The following is a 15,490-nucleotide window of genomic DNA, read 5'->3' as shown; positions in this document are numbered from 1 at the left end:
TTGCACCAACCTAAGAAAAGTAGCGCTTTTGCTCCAGCAATCCCGCTACCATCTACCCAGAGGGAAAAAAAAGTCACTGTACAAAAAAGATACTTGCACACACATGTTTATATATAGCAGCACAATTTGCAATTGCAAAAATACGGAACCATCCCAAATGCCCATCAATCACCAAGTATATATATGTGTATATACACCACATTTTCTTTATACATATATATATATACACACACTCACACCTACACACACACACCATGGAATACTACTTAGTCATAAAAAGGAATGGAATAATGGCATTCACAGCAACCTGGATAGAATTGGAGACTCTTATTCTAAGGACTTTGGGGACTTGGAAAGGGTGGGACAGGGGTGAGGGATAGAAGAGTACACATTGGGTACAGTGTACACTGCTTGGGTGACAGATACACAAAATCTCATAAATCACCACTAAAGAACTTACCCATGTAACCAAACACCACTTGTTCCTCAAAGACCTATTGAAATAAAAAATAAAATCAAAAAAAATAAAATTTAAAAGCTTAGCAAAATCCAAAGATACACACATACACGTATACATATATATAAATGAAACCATAGATACCTCCTAATTAAACTGAAGAAAATGAAAAATTTATATTCCTTTAGAGTATAAATATACACACGTGTGTGTGTGTGTGTGTGTGTGTGTGTGTGTGTGTGTGTGTGTGTGTGAAACCATACCTAGGTACCTCCTGATTAAACTAAAAAGAAAATTACAAAAGCAGCCAGAGGGGAAAAGTGTTACGTTCAGGGAAATCATAGTAAGAATGATGACTTCCTTCTCATAAGAAATAATGGAATGAAATCATTTTCTAAAAGAAAATGGCTATTAACCTAGATTTCAATACCCAGCAAAACATTCTTTGTAAATGAATCCCTACTAAAGATTTTTCAGGAAAAAACATAGTCACCAGCAGACTTACACTACAAAATAACAGGGGATTAATGATCTCATGTGAAAGCCTGGATCTGCAAGAAGGGATAAAGATAAATATATCAGTTTAAAACAACAATACTGACAATATATTGTGGTGTTTATAACATATAGAAGTTAAATATAAGGCAGCAAAAGCATAAAGGGTGGTTGAATAAATGGGGTTAACACTGTTTTAAGTTGCTTATATTATTCTTGAAGTAGAAGAAATCCTAATTCAAGGTATAGTACAGTGGTACGTTGTAATCTCTACATTAGCCATTAAAAAATATGAAGAGATGTAACTAAAAAGCCATCAGAGGACATAAAATGGAAGAGTAAAACTATTTGACTATTGCAAAAGAATATAGAAAAAGAGGAAGAAAAGAACAAAAAGAAATGCAATAAGATAGCAAAATGCTAAACTTCAGCAAAGCCATATGAGTAATTGCATTAAATGTAAATAGTCAAATCATTGAAAGGCAGAGATTGTTAGACTGGACAACCTAGCAGTAATATTTATTGATAGATTGATTCTTTATTCTGCTGACAGACTGCTTTTATAATTTTTTTCATTTTTATTTGTTGATAGGTCGATTTATTCTATCTATATATTCCTGAGTTCATTCGGATATATGCAGATTTTAAAATATTTCATACTAACATCAACATTTTAACTATATTCCTACACAATTATGTTGAATGAACATAACATTTATAATTTAGAGTATAAGCAATAGCATTTTTATTTATTTCATATGTCCCAGAAAGTAAGTATATTACTAGTCAGGGTTCTCCAGAGAAACAGAACCAGTAGGAAGACCATAGAGAGAGAAAGATTTACTTTAAGGAATTGTCTCAAACATTGTGGGGGCTGGCAAGACCAAAATCTGCAGGCTAGGCCAACAGGAGGGAGACGTAGGAAAGAGTTGCAGTTCCAGTCTGAAGGCAGCCTGTTGGCAGAATCCCCTCGCTCTCAGGTGAGTTGTCATTTTCTTAAGGCCTTCATCTGATTGGATGAGGCCCACTTAACATCATGGAGGGCAGTGTGCTTTACTCAAAGCCTGTTGATTTAAATGTTAATTCCATCTAAAACCTTCAAAGAAATATCTAGAATAATGTTTGATCAAGTATCTGGGTACCATGGCCTAGCTAAGTAGACATATAATACTAACCATTATAGCATGCTACTTATTATGAGCTTTCAATTATTGTTATACATTAATAAAAGTGAAATGAGATACAAATACAGATTTTTAAGTAAAATTTACCTAAAATAGGAAGTTATTTTGATACATTTTTTTCTAAAGTTTATTCCTTTCTATATATTTTTTACTGCAAGCTTGAACAAACATGCATGATTGTATTTCCAAATATTATTTATATATGTAATCTAAATTTAAAACTAAGATTATAACTTTGGATAATCCAGTTTTTGAAATTCTAATTTTCAACACATTCTTATCCTAAAATGGAAACACTAAAATCTGTAGAGTTTTTTTTGTTTTTTTCTTGGTATTGTATAAACTGTATATATAGATTTTTGCCTGGTTTGCTTTGGTTTTTATTATTTTAAAGTTCCTTTTCTCCAATTAAAATTACTTTCTGTTTAGATAAGAATTTAAAAATCAGTAATCAGCCTAGGTCAATTTTATAACAGTCAGATTACAATAGTGAGAAGACGTGTGTAAGATGTTGTTAATTGCTGAACTCTGGCATGACCACTCTCATTTGAAAGCCAGTTGCCATGCCACACTATTCTCAGTGTTTGCAGCTAGGATTGTGAGACTGTAGGGGCTGACAAAGTTGGGATTTCTCAATTTATTCTCTCTATATTTCTATATTGTTAAAATCTTACAATAGGAATCTACATTACTTATTTGCCTGCATGTTGTACCCTTTGAAAAAAAATTAACCCAAAACTGGTGTTACTCTATGAATAAGAGTGTCTTTCCATCAAAATTACCTTAAAGATTTTATTACACTTAAGATGAAACTCTGTTCATTTGCTCTGTGGTAATTCTTCAGAAAAGGATATCCATGTTTTACTAGACTCTTATAGTCAGAAACTGTAATATATTCATCTTTTATCACTGAGTACCAAGAATAACCACTCAAAAATATTAGTCAATTGAATGAAGGTAGTATAGTGCTTTATACTTCACTGGCTAACAATAAATGTTACAAAAAATTAATGAAACAAAAACTGCATGTTTCATGATTCATTTTGAAAATACTCTTGCAAAGCGATAAAAAGTGATTGTTTGTGTTGATCTCACTTAATCCTTTACCGTACTTTAAGAAAAATGAGTCATATGCTTGTAGAAGAGAAACTAACATTTAAACTAGGAATTTTACTAATTGCTATTAACAGACATTGTAGTTCTTGCCTCTTGTCCTGCATATGACAGCCTTTAGCATTGTTTGAACAAACTATGTTAATATCCTAAATTATATGTTAGTTTGCTGGTGGCCAGAAATTAGGAATTAAACAAGACCCACACTTGTGTTCATTTTTAACTTGAGTTAGACTTTGAACCAGTATCTTTACAGATGAGATCCCCTGTGTCACGTCCTGAAAGGGTGTTTATTACAAAGAAATGCAGTAGAGAACATTGGGAACAAAAAGATAAATCCACACATGATAAAAGAATATTTCTCAAGATTAGCCATCTGTGTTATCATTTTAAAGGAGGGAATCAGGGGAACATTTTTCTTCAGATACTCATGGTGATTGAATAAATAGAGTATGTCATAGTAGGAAGTCAGATGATCAAAGAGAAATTCAGATGGATTTATTTATTCTTTTGAGAAAATAAGACAGTAGTGATTCACTTCATAGCCCTTGTGATACTTCTTTTTAAAAACTTCATATCCTTGAATCAGAAATAAAACTTTCATGGAAGAAAAGCAGCAGAGCCCAGATAATGGTGTAATTTTTGAGTTGAGAGCAGGATGTGGACACATCTTGCGCTATTGCTAGACATCACTTGAATGGGAAAAAAGGCTTAGCTAACCTTGAGTCAGTTTAGACCAACTGTTTCTGACCAAAGAATTCATGATACATCTTAAAAGGATCTTGCCTTCCAAGTGAGACTTTTTTCTTGGAAGCTGTGTGAGTCATAATAAATGTTTTTCCAATAAAATGGCATGAATATTTTCAACATAAAATGGACAGGCTTAATAACCAAATACTCACAATGTTTTCTTTCCACAGGGATTATCAGCATAGAAAGAAAGCCTTGTAACCATCAGGTAGATACAGCACCAACGGTAAGACAGTCTGTTGCTACGTTGTTAAAAGTGTTAAGAAAGTACAAAATTATACTGGTTATAGTTACAGTGCCATTGTAGAAAACTCTTAAAACCTTTTTGCCAAAAGTTATATCCCTGCAAGATTTGTTCATATTAATGTTGTTAACTTAGAAATAATTTATAGTTTTGATAATGTAATGTAAGTATTTGTGCAAATTGATTTTTACCCTTCTAAAAATGAATGTTATTTTGTGCACTAGCATCATTATTTAAAGTGAATGTTTTATAATAGTGAAAAAAGGCCATTATGCTTCATTTCTCTTATAGGTTACTTTGCTTTATTATTATAGAACTGAAGTCTTATCTTTTATCCTTCTTCTCAACAAAAGGCATTTAACAATTATAGCATCTATTCACTATATTTAAAAAGTTGTATTAATAGAAGGAAGATAATTATTAGATTTCCCTTTTAGTCTCTGAATATGATATTTGTGTGAAACATATATTAGTTGCTAGTTTGCAATTGAAAGACTCATAAGATGATATAGAGTACACTGTACATTCCCTAATCCTACTCTTATTTCTTATCCTTTGCATTCATAAGTCTTCCAAGTACTTCCTGTGATTCTCCATTTCCTATTGTGAGAAAGATTTGGTAATATAGGTTGAGTATCCCTTATCCAAAATGCTTAGGACCAGAAGTGTTTTGGATTTTGGTCTTTTTCAAATTTTGGAACATTTGTGTTACACTTCCTGCATCCCTGAGCCAAAAATTAGAAATCCAAAATGTCCCAATGAACATTTTCTTTGAAAGTCATGTCAATGTTCATAAAGTTTCAGATTTTGGAGGATTTCATATTTCAGGTTTTTGGATTAGGGATAGTCAAACTGTACCAATTAAGAAAATAAAGATGGCCGGACACAGTGGCTCACGCCTGTAATCCCAGCACTTTGGGAGGCCAAGGCGGGCAGATCACAAGGTCAGGAGATTGAGACCATCCTGGCCAACATGGTGAAACCCCATCTCTACTAAAATACAAAAAGTTATCTGGGCATGGTGGTGCATGCCTGTAGTCCCAGCTACTCGGGAGGCTGAGGCAGGGGAATCGCTTGAACCCAGGAGGTGAAGGTTGCTGTGAGCCGAGATTGCACCACTGCACTTCAGCCTGGCATCAGAGCAAGACTCCATCTCAAAAATAAATAAATAAAGGTAATATTAAAGTATTTGAATTGTGTTGATGATTAATATATGCCTCAGTAGCAAATTGACTCTATTTTTTATTTGTAATAAATCCCTATGATTGATTTAACATGTTTGATAACTTAATATGTGGGACTTTAGAAAAGACCAGTACATGAGGAATTAGCATAATCATTAAAAAGAACTTGACTGTAGTATGTATGTTTCAGTTATCCTTTAGTAAGTATGCTAAAAGAGTAGCCATAACATGATATAAATTTTATTCTTTAGTATTAAAAAATTAAAGAATGGCAATTAAGAAAAATTTATTATTTTAATGTATTTGAATAATATATTCAGTCCTTTTTGATGTATTTTTCTGAGGAAGGATTGGCTACTCTTCTCCTTCTGTGTCTCTACTACAAAGTAAGGATGTTACTACCTCTCTCCCCAACAGCCCCTGGCTTTCCAACACTTAATCTTTGCCCTTTCTCCATAACCTCTAAATAGAATCATAAGTCTGTTCATTATTATTGCCCAGTGCCCTCTGGTCCCAGACCAGGACAAGTAAAGTCTGATTTTCACAGAAATGTAATTTTATCTAATTTCCATCCTTGAACCTATCTTCTCTTATTTTCTTTAAAGGGCTTAGGAGAAGAAAATGTTTAGGGAGGAAAAAAAGGAGTCTAAAAATTATCAAAGTGGAATATTTGTAGCCCCAAATTTTGTATTCTACTGACCCAAAAAAAGAAGAGATACCATGATTTAAGTATCTGTTAGAGCCTGAGAAAAAAACAGAAAGGGAGTGGGCCAGGATTTTAGAATAGCTGAGGCTGGGACCCTGAGTGACTTCTCGACCCCAGACCTAACCCTCAATTCCCAGCTTACTTCTTTACCCATTTTCATGCCCACGTTCCCCTTGCTCCAAGTACTGCCATGAATGGCAGTTCTAGGAGAGTGGTATATGCTAGTTGCAGCCATTAAATGGGTGAGGGAAGTGAGCAAATGAGAATTTATCAGACCTCTTTTCAAGGGAAAGATATGTTTGTTTGTTTGTTTGTTTGTTTTTTTGAGACAGAGTCTCGCTCTGTTGCCCAGGCTGGAGTGCCGTGGCGCAATCTCAGTTCACTGCAATGTCCGTCTCCCGGGTTCAAGCAGTTCTCCTGCCTCAGCCTCCTAAGTAGCTGGGATTACAGGCGTCCACAACCACGCCCAGCTAATTTTTGTATTTTTAGTAGAGATGGGGTTTCACCGTGTAGGTCAGGCTGGCCTCAAACTCCTGACCTCGTGATCTGCCCACCTCAGCCTCCCAAAGTGCTGGGATTACAGGCATGAGCCACCGCGCCCAGCCGATATGTTTCTTAACATTCCAAGTTGGAATTCTAAGTGAAGTTTTCAGTAAATATATGGTTATGGTCAATCAAACTTGAGTTTGATTCTATAGTACTATAATACAATCCAGTGTCCCTTCAGTAAATAAAGATCAGCCTGAGAACAAAACCACCTCTGTCCCTTTGTTCCATGTCACCTCTCACTCTCTTTTTAATTCACTTGTTTCCTTTTTGTTTTTCATTTACTACATGAACTTTGATTTTTTTGTTTGGGTTTTTTTTTTCTTTCTTACAAATAGTACCATATTTGTTTTTTTGAGATACCTTTAATAGAAAGTGAAAAAAATCTCCACATGATGTGACACCCCTTTCGTCAAAAAGAATCAAACCTCTATTTTTAACTGTCTATAATCACTTAATTTTTTTGGCATGCTGAGCTCTTCATTTTGTTTATACCTCAGAGTACATTTTCTAGTTGTTCTTCAAGAATTAGAAAATGGGAAGTGAATTATCTGAGTCTGCATATTTTTAAATACTTGTCAATTGCCTTTACTATTAGACAGCTTGCCAAGATTTTTAATTACTTGAACTTAACCTTTTCTCCTCAAAACATTGTGGAAGTTGATTATCTTTGCATTCTGGCGTTTAGTATTGCAGAAGAGACATTGGACATCAGACTGCTAGTCATTCTCTTGTGTAAGGAACCTATGTGGCCTGCTCGTATATTATAGATATTGTTTTATTTTCTTTATACCTAATGTCCTAGGTCAGATTTGATGGTTAAATGTGTGGCTTTCTTTTCACTAATTTTTGTCCTGAATGATATTCATTCAGACACTGTACTATTGATAATAGAAAAAGTAAATAAGACATGAGATAATCATGATGTTAGATTATATGAAAAGACTTACATCATGCCACTTTAAGAATTAGTCCCTCTGCACTTGCTTATCGCCTATAGTAAGTTAAGGATAATATCAGCCCAGATTAATCAGAGGTTATTGTCTGAACCCTAAAAGGCAGGTGTAAAAGTTAGTTAATTGTTAAGTCAGCACAAGTTTGAGTCCTGTATTTACTTTAAATGAAGGACTTATTTGCAAATCAAAGGGAAATGGCAACTAGCATAAGGAAGTATTCCCCCTGGAACATAGTTAAAACATATCTACCTTTCAGTGTACAGTCATATGCTTGGCAAATCCCATAGCTTTTCATATTTTCTGGCAGAATTAATATACATGTAAAATACATTGAAACATGATAAGCCATACTGAATATATAATTTCTAGTGTCTTGAGTACTGTTTTTGAATCTCTTCCAGTGAAAACTAATATGATAAAATTCAAATGACATCAATATGGCCTATTCGAATGAATAACTTAAATTTTTGTAAAGCTCCTACATTCCAAACTTGTAACACTAATATTAATATTTTTAGTTTTTATTCAGTGACCCTGTAACCCCGGTAGAGAGAACAAAGCTTCTTTTAGCAAATGGATTTTGGGCAGTATATAAAATTACAGCTTGCATTTTCACAGAGGCCTACACATCTATCACAACAGGTTGAAATAAAATTCAGACTGTCTCATCAGGATTATACCAACTATGAAACGCTTGCCATGTGTCTTAAGTATTCCTTTAATTATTAGAATTTAAAGCATTCTAACCTGATTGGAAATTTAAATGTTGATTCATTATTCTTCATATTTATAAGACCAATTTTAAAAGCTATTAATTTATTCCTTCTGCAGTTACCTTTCTTCAAAGTTTTCTAAGGGCTGAATGAATTTTTGTCACATGGTATTTCATCAGTAGTAAACTTTAATATGCGTTAGTCTTATTTTGTTATTCTGAAATATTTCTGAGATGTTTGTAATATTGTTTGCCATTAACACTAAACTTATTCATAAATGTACTGATCTGAATCATATAAATTAAATTTTATCCTGAATCTCTTGGATTATATAATATCTGTACTTACTCAATAGCTGTTGGGTTGTTATTGTTGTTAGATTGTTATCATTGTTTAGCCAATTCTGTAGATTGACAAGATTGCTACCTATTGCAGTATTATACTTTTGTATACTTTATACATATATTCATGTAAAATATGGCTGTTTCATATTTTAACATAATATTTGGGACAGCTTGTATGTAGATACATGTATGAGTTTAAGTGAAATGTCCTTTATTCAAAGGAAGCACTTTATTTTCTACAATCTATTGCATTTTCCAAGAATTCATAGTATGTAAACTGGGGTGAATGGGCCCCTATAAAACTCATAAAATAGAACCCATGGCCAATCTCTTCCTGTAGGTAATTGCAGGGTGGAGAGGGAACTGATAAACTATAAGCTTTTATAACTTGTCATAAAAGAACTTGTTTTCCCTTATCAATAAAGTAGCAATTCAAAGCAGTTCTATCGAAATTCAAATATAAATGCAAAATAGGTTCTCTTTAACAACCACTTGTAGTCTTCCGTAATATAACATGTTTAAGTATAAGCACATCAGTTTATTTCTCCAGACATTGTAAATTGTGAAGCTTATGTTGATTTTTTTCCCATTAGCATACTCCACTGGCATTTATGTTTTTCTTAGACTTTTTTTCCTCCATTTCTCTTTTGGTTTTGCTAAATTTTTCTACCTGAAAAACTCTTAAAATTCTGAAAATTTTATATTACTGGAAGATATAACAGCAGCATAAATTGAATTTTCTAAATTATCAAGAAACATGAGGTATACAATATACATAGGATAGTACCATACCTAGCACTGGTGAGGTATGGAAATACTATGGGAAAAGTAGAAATACCAAAAAAAAAAAAAACCCACAAAACATGGTTTTATAGGTCTTTAGATATATGTATACACACACATATATATATGTGTGTGTATATATATTGTGTGTGTGTGTGTGTGTGTGTGTATATATATATACACACACAATGTGTCTTTGAGTAGTTCTTGATGTCATTAGAAAAGTGACCTGTAAACAGCTAAATCCTAATATATGAAATGAATAAAAAATTCAGAGCAATAACGGAAGGGATGTCATGTTACTGAGGCAGTTTGTGCCCAAATATAGGAATATGGTGTAAGGCTTTGAGTGCTGTAGGAATTCCCAGCACTGGAGTGGTTTAGGAAGGCTGTTTAGAGTCGGCAAGTGCTAAACCAGATCATGAAAGGATGGGATTTTTAAAAGAATGCGTTTTGCTAGACCAGAGTAACAGTGTGACCAAAGATTATAGAAAGACACACTGTGTACACACAGTTTATAGATGGGTAGAAAATTTGACTGCAGCAGCGTAGATGAGATAGTAGAAGATTGGAAAATGTGATTTGGGCATCATTTATAAAGATCATTGAATGTTAGGTTAACAGTTAAGACTATCTGTATAAGCAATAGTAAGGTATTTGATCATGAGAATAATATGATGAAGGGAGTAATGTTTTAAAAGGATTAAAATAAAAGCAGCTCATGAAATTGCAGGTGGTGGCGTTAGGAAGAAGGTAACTGAGCTGTGAAGCTACAGAAATCTACATTTGTGGTGATAAGGATTTAAATAAGGAGACTATCGGGATCAGTGTGGAAATAGAGGTATGCTTATAAAAAGACTTGGAGATGAGAGCTGATGAAAGGGACTCAAAGGAAAAGTTGTAGTTAAAAAGGGAGATCCCATCATTGGAAGGCCCAGGCCTAGGTTGTGGGAAGTCATGTATTATAATTGCATGCAGGTTCTTCACAATGGATATCCAAAGGCCCCATCCAGGAAGGAGGCGCAGGTCCAGTCTTTAGAAAAAGCTGAGTCAGGAACCATTCTCCTCCTACCCACCTTCTATTCCACCTATTCCACAGAGCTGTTTATCCAAAGCACAAATATGATCATGTATTTAAGATCCTGTGGTGTACCCCATCACCTGTCAGATGAAAACTTAGTTGTTTTGCATGTCATTTGAAACCCTTCTGCTACTTTTCTAAACTTACCTCCAGTTTGTCCCAGTACTCACTCTGGCCGCTCTGAGCTATTTGCAGTTCCTAAATATGCCTACGGTTTCTCACATTGAGAAGCAATGTTAGAAGTAAAGAACACTGATTCCAGAACCAAATTACCTGGTGTCAAGTCCTGATTCTTTGGCTGTGTTTGTCTTTAGTCACGTTTCTTTACCTCTCTGTGCTTCAGTTTGCTCATCTGTAAATGGGGATAATACCTACTTCATGGAATGTTATGAGGAATGAGTTTATGCAAATAGGACCTCACTCGATATATTTGTGTATACCAGCTGCTGAATATTATTTAATTACAGGAGATAGCCAGATATTAAGGACAAGAACATATTTCAAGCTTGAGAAGTAAAACTAGTTCAAGAATCAAAGGGAGCACCCAAGGAAGGATCCCAGTTAGGTCAAGGAGATCAGGAACAAGGAAACCTGATGAATGTTGCCTCCCACAGCTTGTTTGTGTCTTAGTCAATTTTCTTTCTTTTTTTTTTTTTGTTTTTTTTGTTTTTTGTTTTATTTATGTATGTATTTGTTTATTGCATATTGTGACTCTTCCCTGAAATCAATGCAGAAGTTCAGTTATGCCAGGACAATAGGCATGAACTGGGACTATCTCGGGCAACCCTAAATATATGATCACCTTATTCATCAGTTCTGTAAGTCATGATAGCCAAAGTGATCTATAAGTCAGAATGGGATAACCTCCTGCTTTACACCCTCAGTAACTTCTCCTTATGTTTAGGATAAAACCCAAACCCTTTCCTAGGGCCTATAGGGCTTTGCATGATCTGCTGTCTGTCTGTCTCTTCAGCATCATCCTATGGTACTCTCTGTTCTGAGTTTCTTGAACACAACCAACCTTTCTCCCACTCACCCAAAGACCTTCGAACATTTGATCTCTCTGCCCCTGAATATACACAACCTTTTGCATAATAGGCCTTTTCTTGAGATCCCAGGTAAATGTTAACTTTTCAAAAGACCTTCCTTCACCCCCATTAGTCTTTATTATTACACTTTCTTTTTTTTCCTTAGCAGTTATCCCAATTTGGAATTTTTTATTTATTTTCTTATCTGGTCTTCCTTAACTGGATGTAAGTTCCATAACAGCATGGACTATGTCCATCTTACTCACCACTACTTATAGGCCTTCAGTAGATACTGCTTAAATGAATAAATGTATATATGATGAAACTGTAAGAATAAGTAAGAACAGAGAGCCGGCCTAGATGTATGTTCATATTTTGAAAGCTGGAAGAAGAGCCCTCAAAGAAGACAAATGGTAGAAAGGGAGGCAGGAGATCAGGGATAATGTAGCATCTCGGAAACCAATGCAAGTATGGAAATGGAGTGTGTTTTTATGCTGTCTCTGGGAGAATGAGAACAGGGCCCAGAAAGGAAGCTGGATGGTCACACTAGGAGGCATGATGAATCAGAAGCAATTGAAGAGGCTTGTCATGAGAGGAGATGGAAAATAGAATAGCAATTAATTTAGCCCTGTGGATATGTTACTGACTTATTTCAGAAAAGAAAGCATTTTGCCAAAAGGACTGCCATGAGATAAACCTATATAGAATGTGAAATAAAGATTTCTTTTTCCTTGTTCTGTGAAAGTGAAAAGTACAGTTTGGGTAATTATACAACAGTATTCCATTCAAAATAAATATTTCTCAGATGGAAGGAAAGATCCAGCAATATGAATGAGGCAGGAGAAAGATGCAAACTGGGTTTTAGCATTTGACAAAGGAGTAGAGTAGGTCAGTTGTGGCAAGGTCTCTTGCCAAGGGACTTACTTTTCTAATTGCTAGAATGACAAAAGTTGAAAAAATTGATCTTAAAGTCAACTTTTGGGTCTAAAGTTCTATGCATCTTTTTCAGCTGCTCTTATTGCTCAAAGACAATATATTAGAGCAGAAAAATGAAGCACATCTCTAGTGGTGATCCTTTGAATGCTCACTTATCATTTTATTTATTCTTAGGATTCAGTTAGAATTCACTTCCTTATGTTATAATGTGGCAGTTAACACCCACCACCATTTTTGTTGAAAACTTCATGCCGCTTAATAAGTGGGCATAGGTTAGTTGTTGTCAGTAGATCAGAATCTAAGTCTCTTCACTATAGGGCCCAGTCTCTCCACCTTCATAAACTCAGTGCTTGATAAACAATGCTAAGCAGTGGGATGTGGGATCCAGATATCTGTGCAATTTAGCCAGCAGATGGGTTGGAGAACACGTGTAGTATATAGCGTGAAAGAGGGAGGGCACTGGTCAGGCTGCCTAGTGTTCTATTGAATGAACACCCAGTAATCTTTTTTCTTCATTTCATAAATTCTCACTATTTTTTCTAATATAAGAAAAGGGGCAGGTGTGGTGGCGCATGCCTGCCAGCACTTTGAGAGGCTGAGGCGGGAGGATCGCTTGAGGCCAAGAGTTCAAGACTGGCCTGGACAACATAGCAAGAACCCATCTCTTAAAAACATTTTTTTTAAATTAGCTAGGTGCAGTGCCACGCACCTGTTGTCCCAGCCACTCTGGAGGCTGAGGCAGAAGGATCACTTGAGCCCAGGAGTTCAAGACTAGGTATTATTGGTTTCTATTATCTGGATATTTTGTTTGTTATTGAACATAACTCCTTGATGTTTTAAAGATATGTTGTTGAGACAAGTCTTCTCATTATTTATATATTTGTGCCTCATACCATCCTTATATCTGGAAAGAAGATGATAATAGTGTCTGCCTTATTAATATTATTCTATTGTTTCAAGTACTAAATACTGTGTCTAACACACAGTAATCTCTCGGCCATTAGCTATTACTATTTAACCCTAACTGCAATGTTGTCCATTTCTTTTTACTGAATTTCATAGATTCATTTTTGACTCGCTACCCTGCTTGTCAAAATTCTTTTGAATCTTGATTTTTTCAACTGTGTTAATAGCTGCCTTCCAAACTTTGTAGCATTAACGAGTTTTATAATGCCTCATACAAGTTTTCTTTATTCAAAAACATGAGAAAAATGTTAAACAGTGCACAAAATCAAAATGGCAACAATTTTTTTTCCTGCAGGCAATTTAAGTTTTTATTTTTAAGTAATTTTGCATGAGGAGTGTTACTACTTAATAGTAATTTCAGTGTTTATTGTGCTTTAACAAAGCATTTACTGCATGCCTTTAAAATAAGATATAGTGGTTACTTAAAATTTTCCTTTACCAAAAGGAAAATAAAATTTAACCACTCTAAGGAAGCAGTAATATAGTCACTAGCAGGAAGCAAACCTTGAGTTAACAGGCTATGAAATGAAGGAAACAATTATTTGGAAAAGAAAAAATTTAACACACATTATTATGGAGCATTACTTTCCATTTGGGGAGAAATTTAATCAAAGGTTATCAAACTGCTAGTACCCTGGTTTTCCTGCCTAGATGGACATCTACCATCTGCCACTACTAATGTTCCATAGATTGTTTTTTTACCGTGATAAACATGTGAGTTCACCAAGTTTCATCTTCTTGTGATACTCTATCCTGTCATCTCAGTGTCCCCAGCAGTGAGATTAGTCTTTGACAGAGATAGCCACACGGCCGTCACTAACACAGACACCCTTGGTATAACTACATAATTGGGTCACAGATTAGCTAGATGCATAAAGATTAAGTAAAATAAATCCGTAGAGGGGGAAAAAACCCTTCTTATTCTGTAGTTTAAATCAAACTTCATAAAGTTTTCTTGTCAGAATCTCTCTGGCTGGCACTATCTTATGGCAACATATGCAGACTTCTCTGGGAGTACTTTTTGGCTTCAGAGCTTATTTTACCAAATCTGAAAATAAATCCTGGTTTTCAGCAGAGGAATTCCAGTTAGTCGATCTGCATTTGATTTAGAAAATATGATCACATTTATAGCTGTGGGTGTTCTACAGAAATATTTCGCTACAAAACACCTTTCCTCTATGATAATTTGAAGAACTTCAGGAATTGAATAATAATTGTACCTAACATTTATTGGGCACCTACTATGCACTGTGCAAAGCAGATAATCTCACTTGAATGTCATAATAATTCTATGAGATAAATTATTATTATCATCACCGTTTGCCAAAGGGAAAACAGAAAAAAGGTCTTCAAGCGTCTTCTAGAACCATTTAGATTTAATATGTTAATTCATTATGATAAATGAGCCAAAAATATTAACTCTCTAAAAGCAGAATCAGTTTATCTGAATAAACCATTAAACTCTAATGTCATTCAGTGGCACAAGGCAAATTTTGTGAAAATTGAGAGCAGTTTAGGTAGTATTAACAGCAGTTAACATGTATGAAACAATGTATATTTTTAAAAGCCCTGCTACATACTATATATTATCTCATCTGATCTTTGTAATATAACTGTAACTTTCAATGGGATTAGGCAGGGAATGTGATAATGAAGGTTGGAGACAACAGGCACCACTGGAAAGGCTGACCAGAATGGCAGCTAAAAAGAACAGATGACCTTGATTTCCTCCTTCTTAATAAATCCACCATGGAAATTATCTAAGAAAGCCAATTTCTAAAACATTTCTTGGAAAACATTCCATCAGCCCACAAAGAAGTTTCAAACAGATAACGATCTGAGGCTAGTGGATAGAACCTTAGTCAATTTCCTGGGAAGAGGGGCACTTCAATTCTAATAGCTGTGGAGTGGGTTAAAGATGTGTAAGTAACAGAGTAATCTGGATGTGAGAAGGGGATCTTGGGGTTTGGTGGGAAGAAAGGGGCCCAGAAGCTGTGGTTTTTG

The 15,490-nt window shown here is 34.8% G+C and overlaps 1 protein-coding gene across 18 annotated transcripts in view; it reads left to right on the top strand.

Annotated features, from left to right (window-relative positions):
- Positions 1-15,490, top strand: part of AHI1 (Abelson helper integration site 1) — a 214,209-nt gene that overhangs the window by 135,384 nt on the left and 63,335 nt on the right. For all 18 annotated transcript variants that reach the window (XR_001743480.3, XR_007059277.1, XR_007059276.1 and 15 more), the window contains one exon: positions 4,170-4,225. Coding sequence is in view for 15 of the 18 variants with exons in the window: in XM_047418943.1 (XP_047274899.1) it covers positions 4,170-4,225 (56 nt within the window). In the remaining 3 variants the exon portion in view is untranslated. The remainder of the gene's footprint in view (positions 1-4,169; positions 4,226-15,490) is intronic.

The sequence above is a fragment of the Homo sapiens genome, chromosome 6 (assembly GCF_000001405.40).
Source record: "Homo sapiens chromosome 6, GRCh38.p14 Primary Assembly".
NCBI classification, from domain to species: domain Eukaryota; kingdom Metazoa; phylum Chordata; class Mammalia; order Primates; family Hominidae; genus Homo; species Homo sapiens.
Note: the sequence above shows the minus strand (reverse complement) of the source record. Positions and strands in the feature narration are given on the sequence as shown.